Source organism: Homo sapiens, chromosome 20 (assembly GCF_000001405.40).
Source record: "Homo sapiens chromosome 20, GRCh38.p14 Primary Assembly".
Lineage (NCBI taxonomy): Eukaryota > Metazoa > Chordata > Mammalia > Primates > Hominidae > Homo > Homo sapiens.
In genome coordinates this window covers 40,675,722-40,691,520 of record NC_000020.11, presented here as the reverse complement: position 1 = coordinate 40,691,520, position 15,799 = coordinate 40,675,722, and the positions used below count along the sequence as shown (strand labels likewise).

The 15,799-nt window shown below is 52.6% G+C and overlaps 1 protein-coding gene and 1 long non-coding RNA gene across 2 annotated transcripts, besides 5 other annotated features; both read left to right on the top strand.

The window, feature by feature from the left end:
- Positions 119 to 1,094: an enhancer, noted in NCBI's record as "H3K4me1 hESC enhancer chr20:39319067-39320042 (GRCh37/hg19 assembly coordinates)". NCBI's record gives its function as "activates a minimal SCP1, AML or CMV promoter by ChIP-STARR-seq in naive H9 embryonic stem cells {active_cell/tissue: H9 hESC(naive)}" and the evidence as "EXISTENCE:reporter gene assay evidence [ECO:0000049][PMID:30033119]".
- Positions 1,095 to 2,072: an enhancer, noted in NCBI's record as "H3K4me1 hESC enhancer chr20:39318089-39319066 (GRCh37/hg19 assembly coordinates)". NCBI's record gives its function as "activates a minimal SCP1, AML or CMV promoter by ChIP-STARR-seq in naive and primed H9 embryonic stem cells {active_cell/tissue: H9 hESC(naive and primed)}" and the evidence as "EXISTENCE:reporter gene assay evidence [ECO:0000049][PMID:30033119]".
- Positions 2,023 to 2,332: a silencer, noted in NCBI's record as "silent region_12910". NCBI's record gives its function as "represses an Ori minimal core promoter by ATAC-STARR-seq in GM12878 lymphoblastoid cells {active_cell/tissue: GM12878}" and the evidence as "EXISTENCE:reporter gene assay evidence [ECO:0000049][PMID:35858748]".
- MAFB (MAF bZIP transcription factor B) lies at positions 2,285 to 5,673 on the top strand. Its single transcript, NM_005461.5, has one exon. The coding sequence runs from the start codon at positions 2,671 to 2,673 to the stop codon at positions 3,640 to 3,642; it is 972 nt and encodes a 323-aa protein (NP_005452.2). The 5' UTR covers positions 2,285 to 2,670; the 3' UTR covers positions 3,643 to 5,673.
- Positions 2,353 to 2,422: a silencer, noted in NCBI's record as "silent region_12909". NCBI's record gives its function as "represses an Ori minimal core promoter by ATAC-STARR-seq in GM12878 lymphoblastoid cells {active_cell/tissue: GM12878}" and the evidence as "EXISTENCE:reporter gene assay evidence [ECO:0000049][PMID:35858748]".
- Positions 10,855 to 10,914: an enhancer, noted in NCBI's record as "active region_17880". NCBI's record gives its function as "activates an Ori minimal core promoter by ATAC-STARR-seq in GM12878 lymphoblastoid cells {active_cell/tissue: GM12878}" and the evidence as "EXISTENCE:reporter gene assay evidence [ECO:0000049][PMID:35858748]".
- On the top strand, positions 12,782 to 14,289 carry LOC105372620 (uncharacterized). Its single transcript, XR_936721.2, has 2 exons — positions 12,782 to 13,108; positions 14,239 to 14,289. It is a non-coding gene; the product is annotated as an uncharacterized LOC105372620 (long non-coding RNA).
- Positions 14,290 to 15,799: the final 1,510 nt, after the last annotated feature.

The following is a 15,799-nucleotide window of genomic DNA, read 5'->3' as shown; positions in this document are numbered from 1 at the left end:
CAGAGCCGAGGGGACGTATGGGCGGGGGTGGAGTGGGTCACAGCTTGGCCTGTCCATCTTGGTGCCCGCGCAGAAGTCCACAGTGGCAGAAACACTCTGGGAGCCACAGGTCTCTTAGGACCCTGAGGGAGGGTGCTACCAGCTCTAGTCCAGTCGGGACCAAGAGAGTCAGGCGTGCTTGTCCCGCCCTGGCCGCCTGAGGCCGGAGCCATACATAGTCTGCACAGATCCGAGACACCCGGTCCCGAGTGATCTGGAAACGAGTGTGCTCTCACTGCGTTCAAACAAGACGAGGACATTTACAAGGTGCGAGTCCCCAACCCCCAGCTACTGGCAGGGGCTGCGCAGCGGCACCGCCCAGGCTCTCTCTCCAGGCGGCCGACTCATTTCTGCGGAGAGCACGCTTCTCGAAGAGGGTTGTAGACGCGCTCTTCCAGCATTTAATTTGCCACCCCACAAGATTGAGTTAAGTTTTAGTTAAAATACACTCATTTTATTAAAAATAGGCGGCCCAATACCACGCCGTACCCCAGCCTCTCCGAGGGCGCAAGAGAATAGAGAGTTTTCAGATTAATTGGAGGCAAATATTTTACCTTCTAACATTTAAAAATAATCTAGGCGCGTCTGCACCGGTGTGGCTCACGCGACCCCTACGCGCGAGGTCAGTCGGGCTGGTCCAGCGCAGACAGCGGCCGGGACTCACTCACCCAGTGCGCGCCTCTCCTGCCTTTCGCTGCGCGCGCCCAAAGCTAGAAAGAAGAAGGTGACGCGGGAGGCGGGTCGGGTCTCCGGGTCCAGCGAATTCGCGATCTATCCGGTTTCGGCGCCTGAGCCGAGGTCTCAGAAAGAACCCGTTAATTCTAGCCATCCTGGATCTGGGTAGGGAGGGTGCGCGGCTCCCAAGCCCAGTCTGGATGCCTAGTGCGGTGTGCTTCGGTCTCCCCGTCTGCCCTCCGGGGAGGTTTCTCACCCGGTGGCCCTGGGCCGCTTCACTGTGGCGCTTCCACTTTTGGCTACCGGCCTTCCTCCGCCCAGGACCTTCCGGCCCAGGGAGCAGCCGACGGGCACCCCCGAACGCTGGGGCACGGAATTTCAACGGGGCGACCAGAGCGGAGCTCGCGGCTCGAGGCTCGCGGCTGAGTACGAAGACGGGACCCGAGGACCTGTACATCGCTCGAGGGGAACCTGTCCTGGGCTCTGGTGCACACATAGTATGCGTTCTGGGCTGGCTTGGGTTGGGCCAGGTAGGGGAGACCTGGCTGGGTACGAGGCGCCGTCCAAGCCTTCCGGCCGTGGGCCGGGCGGTCGCGGCGCCTTTGCGCACAGTGGCCACTTGGGGTCGCACTTTATGCCTGTTTGAGCCTCTCCGCGGCGGGCTGACGCCGGGATCTGCTTAATCGTTACAAAACGTTCAAACAAAAACAGGGCCGGCTCCCCAGCAGTGGAGAGCTACTCGGAGCACCGTCCCGGGCCGGCCTCGGCCCCGAGGCTCCGGGGGCTCAGGATTCCGTGCGTGTGGCGGGGAAGAGGAATTCAGAGCCTTTGGGCTGCTGCTTTTCCCGTCGCCTTCACTGTGAACATTGTGCGGTGGGGTGAACGCGGGGAGCGGCGGGGCCAGTGGAGTCGAACCTCAGGGCTCTGCGACTGCACCCGCCAGGAGGGGCCCTCGCTTGGCCTGAGAAAGGTCCCCTGAGGTTAAGAGTTGGGTCTGAACACAACTCTCGGAGCCTCGAGCCCGCCCTCCCCAACATACAAATACGCGCAGATCTCCAGAAACAGGAACGCACGACACACACGGCCAGAAGCCGCGAGGACACACAGAGCGTCGCCCACTGGGCGGGGGCCGCTTGGGAACAAAGGGCCCAGGAGGCGTTGTCCCGGCGCTCATTCTGAGCCTCCTTGGGGGTGACACGGGATGGGGGTGGGGTGCAAAGGGAACTGAGGGAGGAGAGTGCGCGAGGAGGGGAAAGCGGTGATTTGGCCTAGAGGTGGGGCGCGCACTCCAGGCGAGCGTGCGTGGGCCGGGACCTGCAGGGTACGGGGGTGGGCCCAGGCTGGCCGTCCCACTCCGCTCCAGCGCTCCGCCAGGCCTCCGCCGCTCCGGGGCCGCTCGGGCCGCCAGTCAGCTGACGCGGGGGGCGGGGGAGCTGTCAGGCGCGCCCCGCCCTGCGCCGCTGGGCCGCGGAGGCCGTGCAGCTATTGGCCCGCGCACCGGGCCGCCCGGGCCCCCGCACCCCAGTGACATCAGGAGGCGATAAAAGGCTGCGGCGCCGCCGGATCCAGCACAGCTGCACCGCCGAGCTGCGAGCGGCTGCGAGCGAGAGAGCGTAAGAGCAAGAGAGCTAGAGAGCGAGCAACGGGCACTCGCCCCACGCCTCCCCTCAGCCCCACCGCGCGCTCCGCTTGCCTCTCCACCCCGCCCGACTCTACCCGGCCCGGTCCCTGCGCGGGCACAGCCCAGAGCTCTGGGGCGGTGCAGGCAGCCTCGGGACTCTCCGGCGCGCCGCCGCGTCCCCAGACAAAGGCTTGGCCGGCGGCCCCGGCCCGCTGCGCCCTCGCTCCCCGCCTCCCCAGCTCTTCTCCGCTCTTCCCCCCCGCGCTTGGCTCGGCGCGCTCCGGCCGGCCGCAAAGTTTCCCGGGCGGCAGCGGCGGCTGCGCCTCGCTTCAGCGATGGCCGCGGAGCTGAGCATGGGGCCAGAGCTGCCCACCAGCCCGCTGGCCATGGAGTATGTCAACGACTTCGACCTGCTCAAGTTCGACGTGAAGAAGGAGCCACTGGGGCGCGCGGAGCGTCCGGGCAGGCCCTGCACACGCCTGCAGCCAGCCGGCTCGGTGTCCTCCACACCGCTCAGCACTCCGTGTAGCTCCGTGCCCTCGTCGCCCAGCTTCAGCCCGACCGAACAGAAGACACACCTCGAGGATCTGTACTGGATGGCGAGCAACTACCAGCAGATGAACCCCGAGGCGCTCAACCTGACGCCCGAGGACGCGGTGGAAGCGCTCATCGGCTCGCACCCAGTGCCACAGCCGCTGCAAAGCTTCGACAGCTTTCGCGGCGCTCACCACCACCACCATCACCACCACCCTCACCCGCACCACGCGTACCCGGGCGCCGGCGTGGCCCACGACGAGCTGGGCCCGCACGCTCACCCGCACCATCACCATCATCACCAAGCGTCGCCGCCGCCGTCCAGCGCCGCTAGCCCGGCGCAACAGCTGCCCACTAGCCACCCCGGGCCCGGGCCGCACGCGACGGCCTCGGCGACGGCGGCGGGCGGCAACGGCAGCGTGGAGGACCGCTTCTCCGACGACCAGCTCGTGTCCATGTCCGTGCGCGAGCTGAACCGCCACCTGCGGGGCTTCACCAAGGACGAGGTGATCCGCCTGAAGCAGAAGCGGCGGACCCTGAAGAACCGGGGCTACGCCCAGTCTTGCAGGTATAAACGCGTCCAGCAGAAGCACCACCTGGAGAATGAGAAGACGCAGCTCATTCAGCAGGTGGAGCAGCTTAAGCAGGAGGTGTCCCGGCTGGCCCGCGAGAGAGACGCCTACAAGGTCAAGTGCGAGAAACTCGCCAACTCCGGCTTCAGGGAGGCGGGCTCCACCAGCGACAGCCCCTCCTCTCCCGAGTTCTTTCTGTGAGTCGTGGCCGGTCCTGGCCCCCGCCCTTGCCCCGGCCCGGACTCCCTGTCCCACGTCCCTAGTCCCAGACTACCCCGGACCCTGTCCCTGCCGCGGCCCCAGCCTTGACCTGTTTGACTTGAGCGAGAGGGAGGAAGGGCGCGCGGGCCGCGGGCGACGGGCGGGTGCGCGGGCGGGCAGGGGACCTTGGCTAAGGCGAGAGTAGCGCACGCCAGCGCCGCCTCCTAGACTCGAGCAGAGCCGGAGAGAGAGACGAGAGGGTGGGAGGTCCCGGAGTAACTTCTCTCCAGGCTGAAGGGCGGCGAGGCATAGTCCCGAGAAGTCACCAAGGCCATCTGGAGACTCCTGGCTTTCTGAACTTTGCGCGTTAAGCCGGGACAGCTGCTTTGCTGCCCGGAGAGTAGTCCGCGCCAGGAAGAGAGCAACGAGGAAAGGAGAGGGACTCTGGCGTCCCGGCAGGCGAGAGGCGAGGCTGAGCGAAAGAAGGAAGGACAGACGGACCTGTCTGTCAGAGTTCGGAGAACACTGGCTCTCAGCCCTGAGACACAGGCCTCAGTTAGGACGCTCGGCGCCCAAATCTCATCAGTTTTATTGCCTGCTCGATTATATAGAAAAATACAAAAAATCTGCATTAAAAATATTAATCCTGCATGCTGGACATGTATGGTAATAATTTCTATTTTGTACCATTTTCTTGTTTAACTTTAGCATGTTGTTGATCATGGATCATACTCCCCTTGTTTCTTTGGGTGAGAAGGGATCGCAGTTTGGAAACTCCGGCGGCTGCGTGCGGGGTTTCAGTCCCAGCTGTAGGCTTGTAAATACCCGCCCCGCCAAACCGCATAGAGAACGTGGCAGCAAGCTGAGGGTCTTTGTTTGGGTTTATTATTACGGTATTTTTGTTTGTAAGTTAAAAAGAAAAAAAAAAAGAAAAAGTTCCGGGCATTTTGCATCAGAAAACAACTTTGTCTTGGGGCACACTTGGAAGTTGCATGTTTTCTTTCCTTCCCTTATCCCCATTCGGTCCTCTTTTTCCTCTCTCGCTTTAGTTTTCAACCTTGTTGGTGCTGAGAGAGAGAACCGAGAGGTCCCAGTACAAGGGCAGGGCAGGGCAGGGAAGCTGCCAAGCTCCGCACCCCAGAGGAGTGTTCTGGACTACAGCCTTGTCTTATGGTCAAATTGATACCCTTAATAAGAAAGGAAAGGAAAGGAAAACAGATCCTCCCCTCTGCTTTTTATTGTAACCAGAATCACCCTGAGGTCCCTTCTGAACCCTCTGGGCCTGCGCTAATTGTAGGAGCCACAGCGCTCCTAGGGTGAGAGGCTTAGCCATCCCTGACCCTGGCAGTGCACTGGTAAGCAGACACTGCACTGAACCAACTGCTATGCTCAGAATGTACCAGAAACCCAAACATTGGCAAGTAATTTTGCAACTTTCAAGTGCGTTCTTTAGACCAATGCATTGCGTTTCTTTCCCTGCTTTTGAGATAGTAGGAAGAGTTCTTGGTGGTGTCCCCCCCCTTCAATTCTTCAGTTGTATAGTAGTTATAGGGAAGATATGGGTGTTTTTCTTTATTATTACTTTTTTTTTTCTGCAGGTCAGTAAAAGGATTTAAGTTGCACTGACAAAAATACCAAAATAAAAGTGTATTTTTAAGTTCCCATTTGAAATTGCTGGCGCTGCTGGCCGGATGCATTTTTGAGTTTGTATTAGTTGATAAATTAACAGTAATAACAAGATTGTATGAACCGCATGGTGCTTGCAGTTTTAAATATTGTGGATATTTGTCCTGCATCAGAAACGAGCTTTGGTTTTTACAGATTCAACTGTGTTGAAATCAAACCTGCCGCAACAGAAATTGTTTTTATTTCATGTAAAATAAGGGATCAATTTCAAACCCTGCTTATGATATGAAAATATTAAAACCTAGTCTATTGTAGTTTTATTCAGACTGGTTTCTGTTTTTTGGTTATTAAAATGGTTTCCTATTTTGCTTATTAAAACCATGGAAATGGTGTTTATTTAGAGGACTCTGCGTTCGCATGATTTTGACTTTCTTCTCTTGCTTCCTCAAGAGTCGCATCAACTTTGGGTTACTCTCACCCCATGGCCAATGGAATAGCAAACCAAGCCCTAGCAAATCCCTTCCTTGAGTGTCTGAGTGTGTGTGTACATGAGCCTCAAATGTGTTCTCTGCTTCCCACCCTAGGTACAGACCCTGGTCAAGAGAGCTGGATTATGAGCTGAGAGGGCGCAGGTCCAAACAGCCTTGGAGTCCCTGGGTGTGGGGCACACGCCACTTTTTCAGTGCTTTCAGGCTTGGCCACCAGAACTGACTTGCTAGTCTGTCTGCTCTGAAATAGTGATTGATGGAGACTAGGAAGCCAAGAGCTGCCACCTTGATGGGGAAGCTGGGTCTTTTTGGCGCTCTGGCCCAGCTGACCCGGGCCTTTGCCTTCCTGCCTGGGGTGCAAGTCTCCTTTCTCCTACCCAGCACATCTCTCTGGGAGCAACTGGAGCTGCCCAGAGCCAGATACCTTCTCTGAATGGGGCCTGTCTCCCTCACCCCAAAGCTGATAGAAGCAGGTACAACCCAGCACTGGATCTTGGGGTGCAAAACCCTCCAGGCAGGACACCTCTCTGTGTGGACTTGTGTTTTTGACGGTAGTATGCCTCGGGTGCACTGGCGCTGAGGCATGGATTCCTCAGTTCTGCAGATGGGCACTGTGTGGCCGAGTCTGAATTTTAGTGGCTCCTTGAATTGGGTGTTGGAGGGGTTTGGGTCATCACTCCAGTGCAGCAGCTTTGGCTGCAGCCTGGAGATCCCTGACTGGGAGGTGGCCCTAGAACCTTTCCTTTTCCGTATTCTTGGAAGAGTGGTGCCCACCTAGGTCACCCCCAACCCCTCTCAGCCTCCTTGGAGTCCTGTCTATAACTCAGGGTTGGCCTCAGACACCCCTGGGACATGGAGTAGGATCTCCAACCCCTGTAGAGTTTTTGTGATCCTTTGGCAATGGCTAGCTCCGAGGGGCTCCGGTCTCCTTAGACTCATTATCTGCAGTCCAGGAGGCTTAGCGTTTAGTTCCTGGGGTTCTCTGGCTCATGGAGTTTCAGAACCCAAATGGGGAGGTGTAGGAGACCCATGAAGTGGAGCCCCAGCTGGGAATCTGAGCTGGGAGAAGGAAAAGGAGAGTGAAACTAACAGGGAATTTTGGCCTGGATCCCTGGAAGCCTGGAGGTAGTGATGGCTGAGGTCTAGAGAAGAGGAAGGGGACCTAAAAATTTGGGATACAGATAACATTAACATTCATGTACATTTATATAGTGTGTTGGTGTTGTTCAATAGGAGAGAAGCTTGGAATTCTAGCTCGAATTTAATTCCTAGGCCCAGTTGATTTCACTGGCAGAAAGATGAAAGATGTGTCCGGTGGGGAAGGCTTTGGCTGTGATCTGGGAGGAGAGGGCAGCTGAGCCTGGCTCTGTGGAACCTTTGTCCCCATGTGCATGAATGAAGGAGCAAGGGGCTTTGATTAGTTGGGTAACTGCATACACACATGCTCCTGCACAGAATGTTTTCACATGTACACATGTATCCTCTTTGTGGTGAAAGAGGCTTCGCTCAGGTAGGGTGCCAGAGGAAATCCCACTGCATGGCTCCAGAGACCAAAAAGATCACGAACTCCTGGCTGGTGGAGACCCTAAATCCGGCGGCCTGACTCCCTTTGGAATCGTCCCAAGCGGACTGACATTCTCCATCCTTAGCCTCTGAGCTGGGGAGGGTTGCAAACTCCAAAGTGTTGGCTTTTCTTCCCCAGAGCACAGAAGCACAGACATCGACCCAGTGACCAATACCATCAACATTGCATCCAGAAGACAAAGTGGTTCAAGCCGGTTTGGAGTGACCAGCTGCCTCTCGGAGAATCTGACAATCCCAGAACACAGTCTTAGTGATACACTGACACACAGATACACAGACACATCCTGCACACATTGATGCCCTCATTGATACCCACATTGATGGTGCGGGGACTGACATTGAGGCACTGTCAGTCCCCGCATCAACCCTCCAAGTGAGCACTAACCGGCCCGGGGCGCAAGCAGGCGAGAGTCAGGCGGAACCGGCAGCTCCTTGGAGGAGGCCCGGGCTTCCGGAGCCTCCAGGGCGGACTCGCACATCAGGCAAGCCCCGGCTGCGTCTCCGCCTGTAGCCTGTCGTCCCGACCCGCCGTGATGCCCCAGAGCCCACAAGCCCAGGAAAAGAGAACCGAGTCCCAAGGCCCTCGGGCACGTCCCACCCTAGCAGCACCCCGCCACCGTCATCCTCCTTTTCCGTTCCCACCGCTCCCTGCGGCTCGCGGGCTCCTTGCAATCCTTCACATCCCCGGGGGAAAATCCTCCAGGGCCGGGAGTCTTCCAAGTCAGCACCCGTCCCACGTAGACAGGCTGGCGCCTGCACCCGGAGACGCACTCAGAGACAGGCACGCTCAGACACCCGGACGCACGCACGGGGCACAGCAGGCCCCCGGACGAGGGCTTCCCTTCGGACCGCGCCCGTGGCTGGAGCAGCTGCAGTCTAGTCCGGCGCGAATCCCGCCTCTTGCGACCCCGGATCTCTGGGGGGTGTGCGGGAGGCTGTGCGGACTGGATCCGCCGCCGCCACTTTCAGAGAGGCGGGTCGGGGAAGGCGCTCAGCTGGGCTTGCCGGGAGCCTCGGGTCCTTGTGCGCGGGGACGGGTGGGAGCCTAGGCACCATTCCCTTGCCTCCTGGCATCCTTTTTCTTTCTTTGACATTTCCCATTCTTTTAGCCCTTCCTTCGTAACCTCTTTCATTTCAGAAAACTTTCTCCTTCTGTTTTGATTTCTCTTCTGTTTTTTATCTCGGCGCTGCCTGGCGGGGAAGGGCTGCCGAGCGGGGTCCCGAGGTGGCTGGAGTGTGCGGCGCGGGGGAATGAGACTCTGGAGTCCCCCGAGCCACCGCGCAGCACTAGGACCAGGGCCCGCTGCTCCGGGCTCTCGTCTTGACCGCTCCAACTATCCCGCTTTTCCCTTCCAGGTTCCCCCAGTGGCGAGGTTCGCTGGGGATCGGCGCCCCGCTGCGGGGGAACCGGCACCAGTCGGTTCTCCGGGAAGGGATCTCCGGGGAAGCTGAGCCTGGGCCCTGGACCCAGATCCCTCTTTCAGTGAACCAGGCAGGCTTCCCTCAGTCCCGGGTCTCTGGGCATTTCTGTGGCAGGACAACGCCCCTGCCTGTCAGAGGGCACTCGACTCCTACCCACTGCTTCAGCCTGTGCCCGCCCAGAGGCCTCTTGGACCCATACTGCAGTGGGAGCTGCCAGGAACCACGCCAGATCCACCAGGCTGGTCACTTGGCTTTCTCTGTGACCTGGAGTTGCAGCTTCTGCCACACCAGGCAAACCCCCTACTCTCTTGCTCTCTCATCCCCACTCCCCAAGCTCTTCCTGTCCTGGCTTCTGGAGACAGTGGGTTTAGAGTTTCTGGTCATTCCCTTGCAGGCTTTCAGGTGCAAAATCTGCACTCCAGGCCCTTCTGTTTTCAGAAAGGAAAACTCTGAACTGGCTTCTTGCGTAACCCTTCCCTCTGCAGCCTGCAGTCTGCTGGCCTGGCCTCCCATCCCAGAGATAGTTGTGTTTGGATTTGTTATGTAAGGAAGAGAAGATTAGAGGTTTGCTCTGCTCTTCCTCCCCCCCAACAAAATAAAAGTCCTCAAATGGCACATCCATTAGGCAGCATGGTTTCCAGCAGCCCTCCTAAAAGAAATCAATCTGGTTGGTAAAGCTGCTCTGTGCTGTTGCCTAGCCCAGTACACTCAGAAGACAATCCAGCTGCAGTGAAGGGACAGTTCTGCGTCCAGGGAGTACCTGGTCCGTGGAAGTAGCCCTTACTCGGCTTCCCAGGCTGGGCGTTCCCGGCCTAGAAGCCTAGCCTTATTTTGGCGAAGGCGGCAGCTACTACTGCTGAAATTTTATTCTTTCTATAGTTCCTGCCTCTTGGAGCATGTGTCCAGACCATGGAGAGCACCTCTTCCAACTGGGGAGCACATATTCCGTATCTCCTCCGCATCCTCCGTATGCCTCCTTCATTTCTGAACACCGTTACCACGTTCTGTCAATTTCCTGTGCCTCACACTTAGTCTTCTTAATGTCTTTCTCCGTTGTCTTACACATATTATCCTAAAAGATGCATACTAAAAGATGCATCTTATATTATCCTATCTTTTAGGATAATAAAAGATGCATTATATACATTATCCCAGAATGCCTCCTAAAAGATGCATTTAGATAAGAAAATCAGAGCTCAGTGTTCTCACTTGGAAGAAATAGAATACATGAAATAAGTTACTACTTCAATGTGGAAAATCACCTATATTAATGATTTGTTATGAAGCCAAACTCAGTTTTAGCTGCCTCTCTGCATTCTTTCATGTGAAGTTACTTTCATGAAATATACCAGCCACTCATTACACATTCTTTCGTATTTGTATCAAAAAGGGATGTTGTCTTTGGGCTGGAGGGACAGCTTTGGAGGCAATGGGAGGAGCCCTGGTACTTTCTGGAAGAAGCCAGTTTCAGCATAAGAAGGGAGATGAAATCCACAAGTCCAACATTTATATTGTTGTGTTTTCTTTTTTGGAGATCTGTATATCTTACCTAGGCTTGGACTCCTTGCAGTAAATGGACAGCAGGGTGGGAGACTACAAGGTGCCCATTTCAGAGCTTTGGAGCATGAGGCAGACATTGATCATAGCCCAGGACTCCATCGGATTCAGGAGCCACAGCTGCCCTTAGCTCACTCTTGGTGTCCCTTTGTTTCTTCTCTGGATCTGGCACCTTCACTTCCCTGCTTCTGCTGGTGTTACAGGTACCTGAGCTTTACTCTAGAGAGATCATGGACCTGGACTGGCCTGGGGGCTCACTTCTGCCTGTCCTGAGTGGACAGAGAAGGGATGTGCTTCCCATTGCAGGGCTTGACACCCATCCTCCTTTGTGTTCTGGGAGCCAGAGCATGGCACAAATGTCCCTTTCTGTGGACAATGGGCAGGAAGGTCACAAAGCAGAAGTGTAACCAAACTGTGAGATTAGTTTCATTATTACATTTCACTTAACTCTATGAAGCATGGGTTACTATTATCTGCAGGTCAGAGATGAGTAAAGCCCAGAGTGGTTACTATTTGCTCAGTGTCACCCTGTGGAGGAACTAGAACTTGAGTCCCCACCTATCTGGTGCTGAAATTTGTATTTTTGTCACCAAACTTCGTAAGTCCACTATGCCTTATCTGAAACACTCGGGTGGGGGGAAGTATGGAGGAGTGGGACATAGTCATCTTTGATGACAGTTTCCTCTCTAAATCCCTCTGCAGAGGGTAGTTACATTTACAAGGGTGTGCTTCATGTTCTCCAGCCATAAGATGCTCTCTTTGCATCCCCAGGCAAAGAGATGGGTGATGGGAATTTGGAGATGCACAAGTACAAACATGATGACAAGGGTGTCAGAGAGAAACTGCAGCTTTGTTGCTCATTTCAATCTCTGGCAGAGGAGTATGGTGGTGGGAAGTGTGTGTATGTGTGTGTGTGTGTCTGTGTCTGTGTGTCTGTGTGTGGTGGAGGAGGACACTTTGGGCATCATTGTCTTGGGACATTGGTACTGTTTGCAATTAATGAACAGTTAGTTCTTTCACCTTTCATCTGTTCTCAATTGAACTTACCAGTAAATATATCATAATTACCAGAACAAGTGTTTATAGAAGCAGCAGCCTCTAGGCGAGGCAATTTTTATGGAATCGCCCATAGTTTAATGAAAGCTATTTCTGGGGTAATGTTGAAGCTCTAGACCTGCACATAGATATGCATATGTTCTCAGAGCAGGTGCATGAATAAACATGCATGTGTATACACTCAGGCTTACACATATGGAGGCAGGCCTGCATACACATTGGAGCACAGAATCCACATGTGCTCATTTGCTAGATACAAACTCTCATATTCATGTGCCCACATACATGCACACAAACATATACACATACATTATACATGTATGCATATGTATGTATCCATGCCTATATGCATGCATGTCTAAATATTCATGCACATGCATTTACAGTGTGGATACAATGTTCACAATTATGTGCACATAAGTGTATGTATTTATACTCACATTGAGATACAATTGATTACACATGCTCTCCCAAAATGCATAGGAGTCCATGTACATCCTCACACGCACATGCATACATGCATGTATAACTGAACACGGGTGTTCACATTCATTCACAGACAAGCACCATGTAACAAGTGAAATGTGGTACTGGTAGGGTTAATGGAGGCCCCAGACTCCCATAAATATTTATATGAAGCACTCAAGCTCTCAAAGTGGGAGACAAAACCTCTTCCCACAAGGCCTTTTAAATCATGCAGCTGCTGCGTGTTACCTGTCAGATCCAGGGCTGTGCAGTCCAGCATTTGCTCCATGAGGGCGGCCACATACGTGCTGGAGCACACGGCACTCTCCTTGCCTAGCCAGGCATCCCAGCAAATGTGCCAAGGTCGGTCCCCACTCCTCGGATTCGCGAGCAGCAGAAGGAAGCATTTCAATGCTGCCGCTGCTGCTGCTGCAAGCACAGGACTGAAGGAATGAAGAGACATTATGTGAATATCTGAGACTTGGCTTCTCTGGTAAAGACAGATGCTATGCTGTTGTTATCCTGGAGGGACAGCATGTGGGGGCCTTGGTGAGAAGGGGGTGCAAAAATGATTAAGGGTCCTGAGCTGAATCCAAGTTTGGTGCAGTAGGGACTCCAGCCTCTGGAGCTGCTCTCACCCAGCAAAATTTTGGGTCCCAGGAGCCTACTGAATCACAGTTCTCCACAGTGCTATAACCTTTTTTTTAGTGAATACCCTGCTTCTAGTCCTACCACCTAAAACCATTCATTGGATCGTTGAACAAATTATTTGTCCTTCATACGTCAGGCCCTGTGCTAGGTGCTGGCAATATAACAATGAACCAAAACAGAAACAACGGAGTTTAAAATGTATTAGGAGAGAGAGACATCAGTAAGATATTGTACTAATGAGCATACAATTTCTTCCTTCTTCTTCTCCTCCTCCTCCTCCTTCAATGGAGTCTCACTCTGTCATCCAGGCTGGAGTGCAGTGACCATAGTTCACTGTAGCCTCAAGCTCCTGAACTCAAGTGATCCTCCCACTTCAGTCTCCTGAGTAGCTGGGACTTCAGGTACAAGCCATCAAGCACTGCCAATTAGTGTACGATTTCACAAAGAGATAACTGATACGAAGGAAAGCCACCTGGCTCTCTGAGAGCATGCATAGGACAGTGGAGCTGATGTACAGGAAGAGTGGTCAGAAAAGCCTTCCTGGAGGAAGTGATGTTTGAGCTGTTAAAGTCTGAATAAAAGTTAACCAAGCCAAAAAAGGAGCCAAAACACTCAAGGTCAGTGTCATCTGATAGAACTTTCTGTGATGAGAGAAATTTTCTTATCTGTGCTACCCAATAAGGTAGCCACTAGCCACAAGTGGCTATTAAACCCTTGAAACATGGCTCATGCAGCTGAGAATCTGAATTTTAAATTTCATTTAGTTTTAATTACATTTAAAATAAGTGATCAGAATCAGAATCTGTCTCCTCTGATTTTCTCTCCCTCTACTTTCTTGCCTTGCTCACTCTGTTCCAGCCACACTGGCCACCTTACTGTTTCTGGAAGAGGCTGGTTATGGCCCTTGCTTAGGGAATTTGCTGAAGCTCTTCCCTCTGCCTGAACCACTCTTCCCCCAGATAAACCTGTAGTGAACTTACTCACCTCCTTCAAGTTCTTGCTGAAATCTCACCTCCTTCATGAGGCTTATTTTGACTACCCCATTAAATTTGGGAACCTACCCCCTTCCCCCTCCCTGGGCACTGCTGACATGCCTTATTTTTCTTTAATATTTCTTTTCTTGTTTTTTTCTTTATTTCTTTTCTTATAGCACTAATCACTTTAGAATTTATCAGATTATTATTCACTTCTTGCTTATTTCCTGCTTTTGCCTGCCAGCATATAAGCTCTGTGAGATCAGTGTCTGGTGACTGTTTTGTTTACTGATGTTCCTAAGAACGATAAATGGTGCCTGGCACTTAGTAGGACCATAACAACCCAATAATTGGTTGAATGATCATGTGTTGTGTAAAATGTGCTTAAAAAGGAAAGGGGTAATATCTGTGAAAGCATGGGTTTGAGGTCCTGGCTCGCCCTATCAGTCAATCATTAATCTATCTGTCAATCATATCTATCAATCATCTATCTGTCAATCATTATCTACCTATTATCTATCTGTCATTCATATCTATCATCTATTAATCATCTCTCTGTCAATCATATCTATCAATCATCTGTCGATCATTATCTACCTATATCTGTCATTCATATCTATTATCTATCTGTCAATCATATCTATCTATCTATCTATCTGTTATAGTCTGTCTATCTATCTCTGTGTTTTTTGGTACTCTAAAAAATACGTACTGCTAAAAATTTTTTTAAAGCTTATTTGTATGTCAACCTCCAAAATCTTGTATACCATCAGTGGTGCACTTGGGGACACACTGTGGCGTCTGTGGAGAGAAAGAAGAAGTTGACACCTGATATGAGAGGTAGGTGGGGAGCGCTGGGGTGGGACTGCAGGGGAGGGGGAAAGGGAAAGGGAGGGGGCAAAGTAGAGCTCAATCTTGTTTTCTCCTAGATCCTGGTGGGTTTTTGAGAGAAAAAGGTGAGGGAAGGAGCAATCAGAGAAGGGGTTTGGGATTCCGAAGGCAAAGAGCTAACCAACATCCCACCTGCTTTCCAACTGCCCCTCCTACTTCTCCTACTCCTAGCTCTAACCTCATGCAAAATAAAAAATCCCCCCCCCCAAAAAAACCCAAAAAACTCCAAAACAAACCATTCCTCCTCCCTATGGCTTTCTGAGCTGAGAAGAAAGCCTCTTAAATACTTTTGTCCCCTTGACAAGTTATTTTTAAAAGGAAAGAATGTCTCTAAATCCAACATTTACGGCGATATTTTTTGAAAAGAAAACACTCCACAAATCAGCAGCTCTCTTGTTTTAAGCAGTTGCTAGGGTTTGGAGAGTGGCTGCTTGGTAAACACACTTTGTAAACACCCAGAAAAGATTGTATTCAGTGTCCTTAAGTCAAAATCAGCCTTCCCAAACTCCTACTTTCTGTTTCATTGACACAGGAAGAGGCTCTCTAAAAGCAGAACCCAGATGAAGGGTGGCTCTCAGGCTTCTCGGATGATATTTCTCTGGGTAATCAGGGCTGGGAGCCCAAACGTATCTGGGAGCAGCCATGTCCCCCTACTCCCCTTGTATTCCTCTAAAGATCTTTGGCTCTTTACCTCACACTGGAAGGGATCAGGTATAAATGTCACTAGGTCCATTTCACAGCTAGGTAAATACAGTCAGGGGAATCTGTCTCCAAGCAGAGCCGGGAGAGATTGTGTCTCCAGGTGCCTGCTAATACCACCAGCCCAAATAACCTCCTTGAATCCTTGTTTCAGTTTTTGAGAAACAAGCTGATTTCTTGGGGACAAATCTGTTTTTGTATCCCCTCTCAGAAGCACCTTCCTGTCTGTTTCCACCACCACATCTTAGTTTGGAGTATCCCCCCACTTCCTTCTTGGTCAATTCCCAGAGTCTTAGAACTCACCTCCAGTCCCCACCCTATTCCTCTAAGACTACCAGGGTCCTCTTTCAAACATGGATCATGTCACTGCCTTGTTTGCAAAATCAACAAGTCATTGGTCTTTGCCCCAGAAAAGAGCAATGCTTCAAAATTCAGTTCTGTTTATTGTCTGAGAGTCAGATTCCCCGACTCTATTTACCTAGCTGTGAAATGGACCTAGTGACATTTATATCTGATCCCTTCCAGTGCGAGGTAAAGAGCCAAAGGTCTTTAGAGGAATACAAGGGGATAAGGGGGACGTGGCTGCTCCCGGATATGTTTGGTTTCCCAGCCCTGATTGCCCAGGAAAAATGTCCTCCTGGAAGCCTGACAGCCACCCTTCATCTGGGTTCTGCTTTTAGAGAGCCTCTTCCTGTGTCAATGAAACAAAAACAGAACTATAGCTTTGGCAGTCCAAGATGCTGA

What these genes read in the sequence shown, in the direction of transcription:
- MAFB (NM_005461.5), top strand. Translation starts at nt 2,671, where the DNA reads ATGGCCGCGGAGCTGAGCATGGGGCCAGAGCTGCCCACCAGCCCGCTG.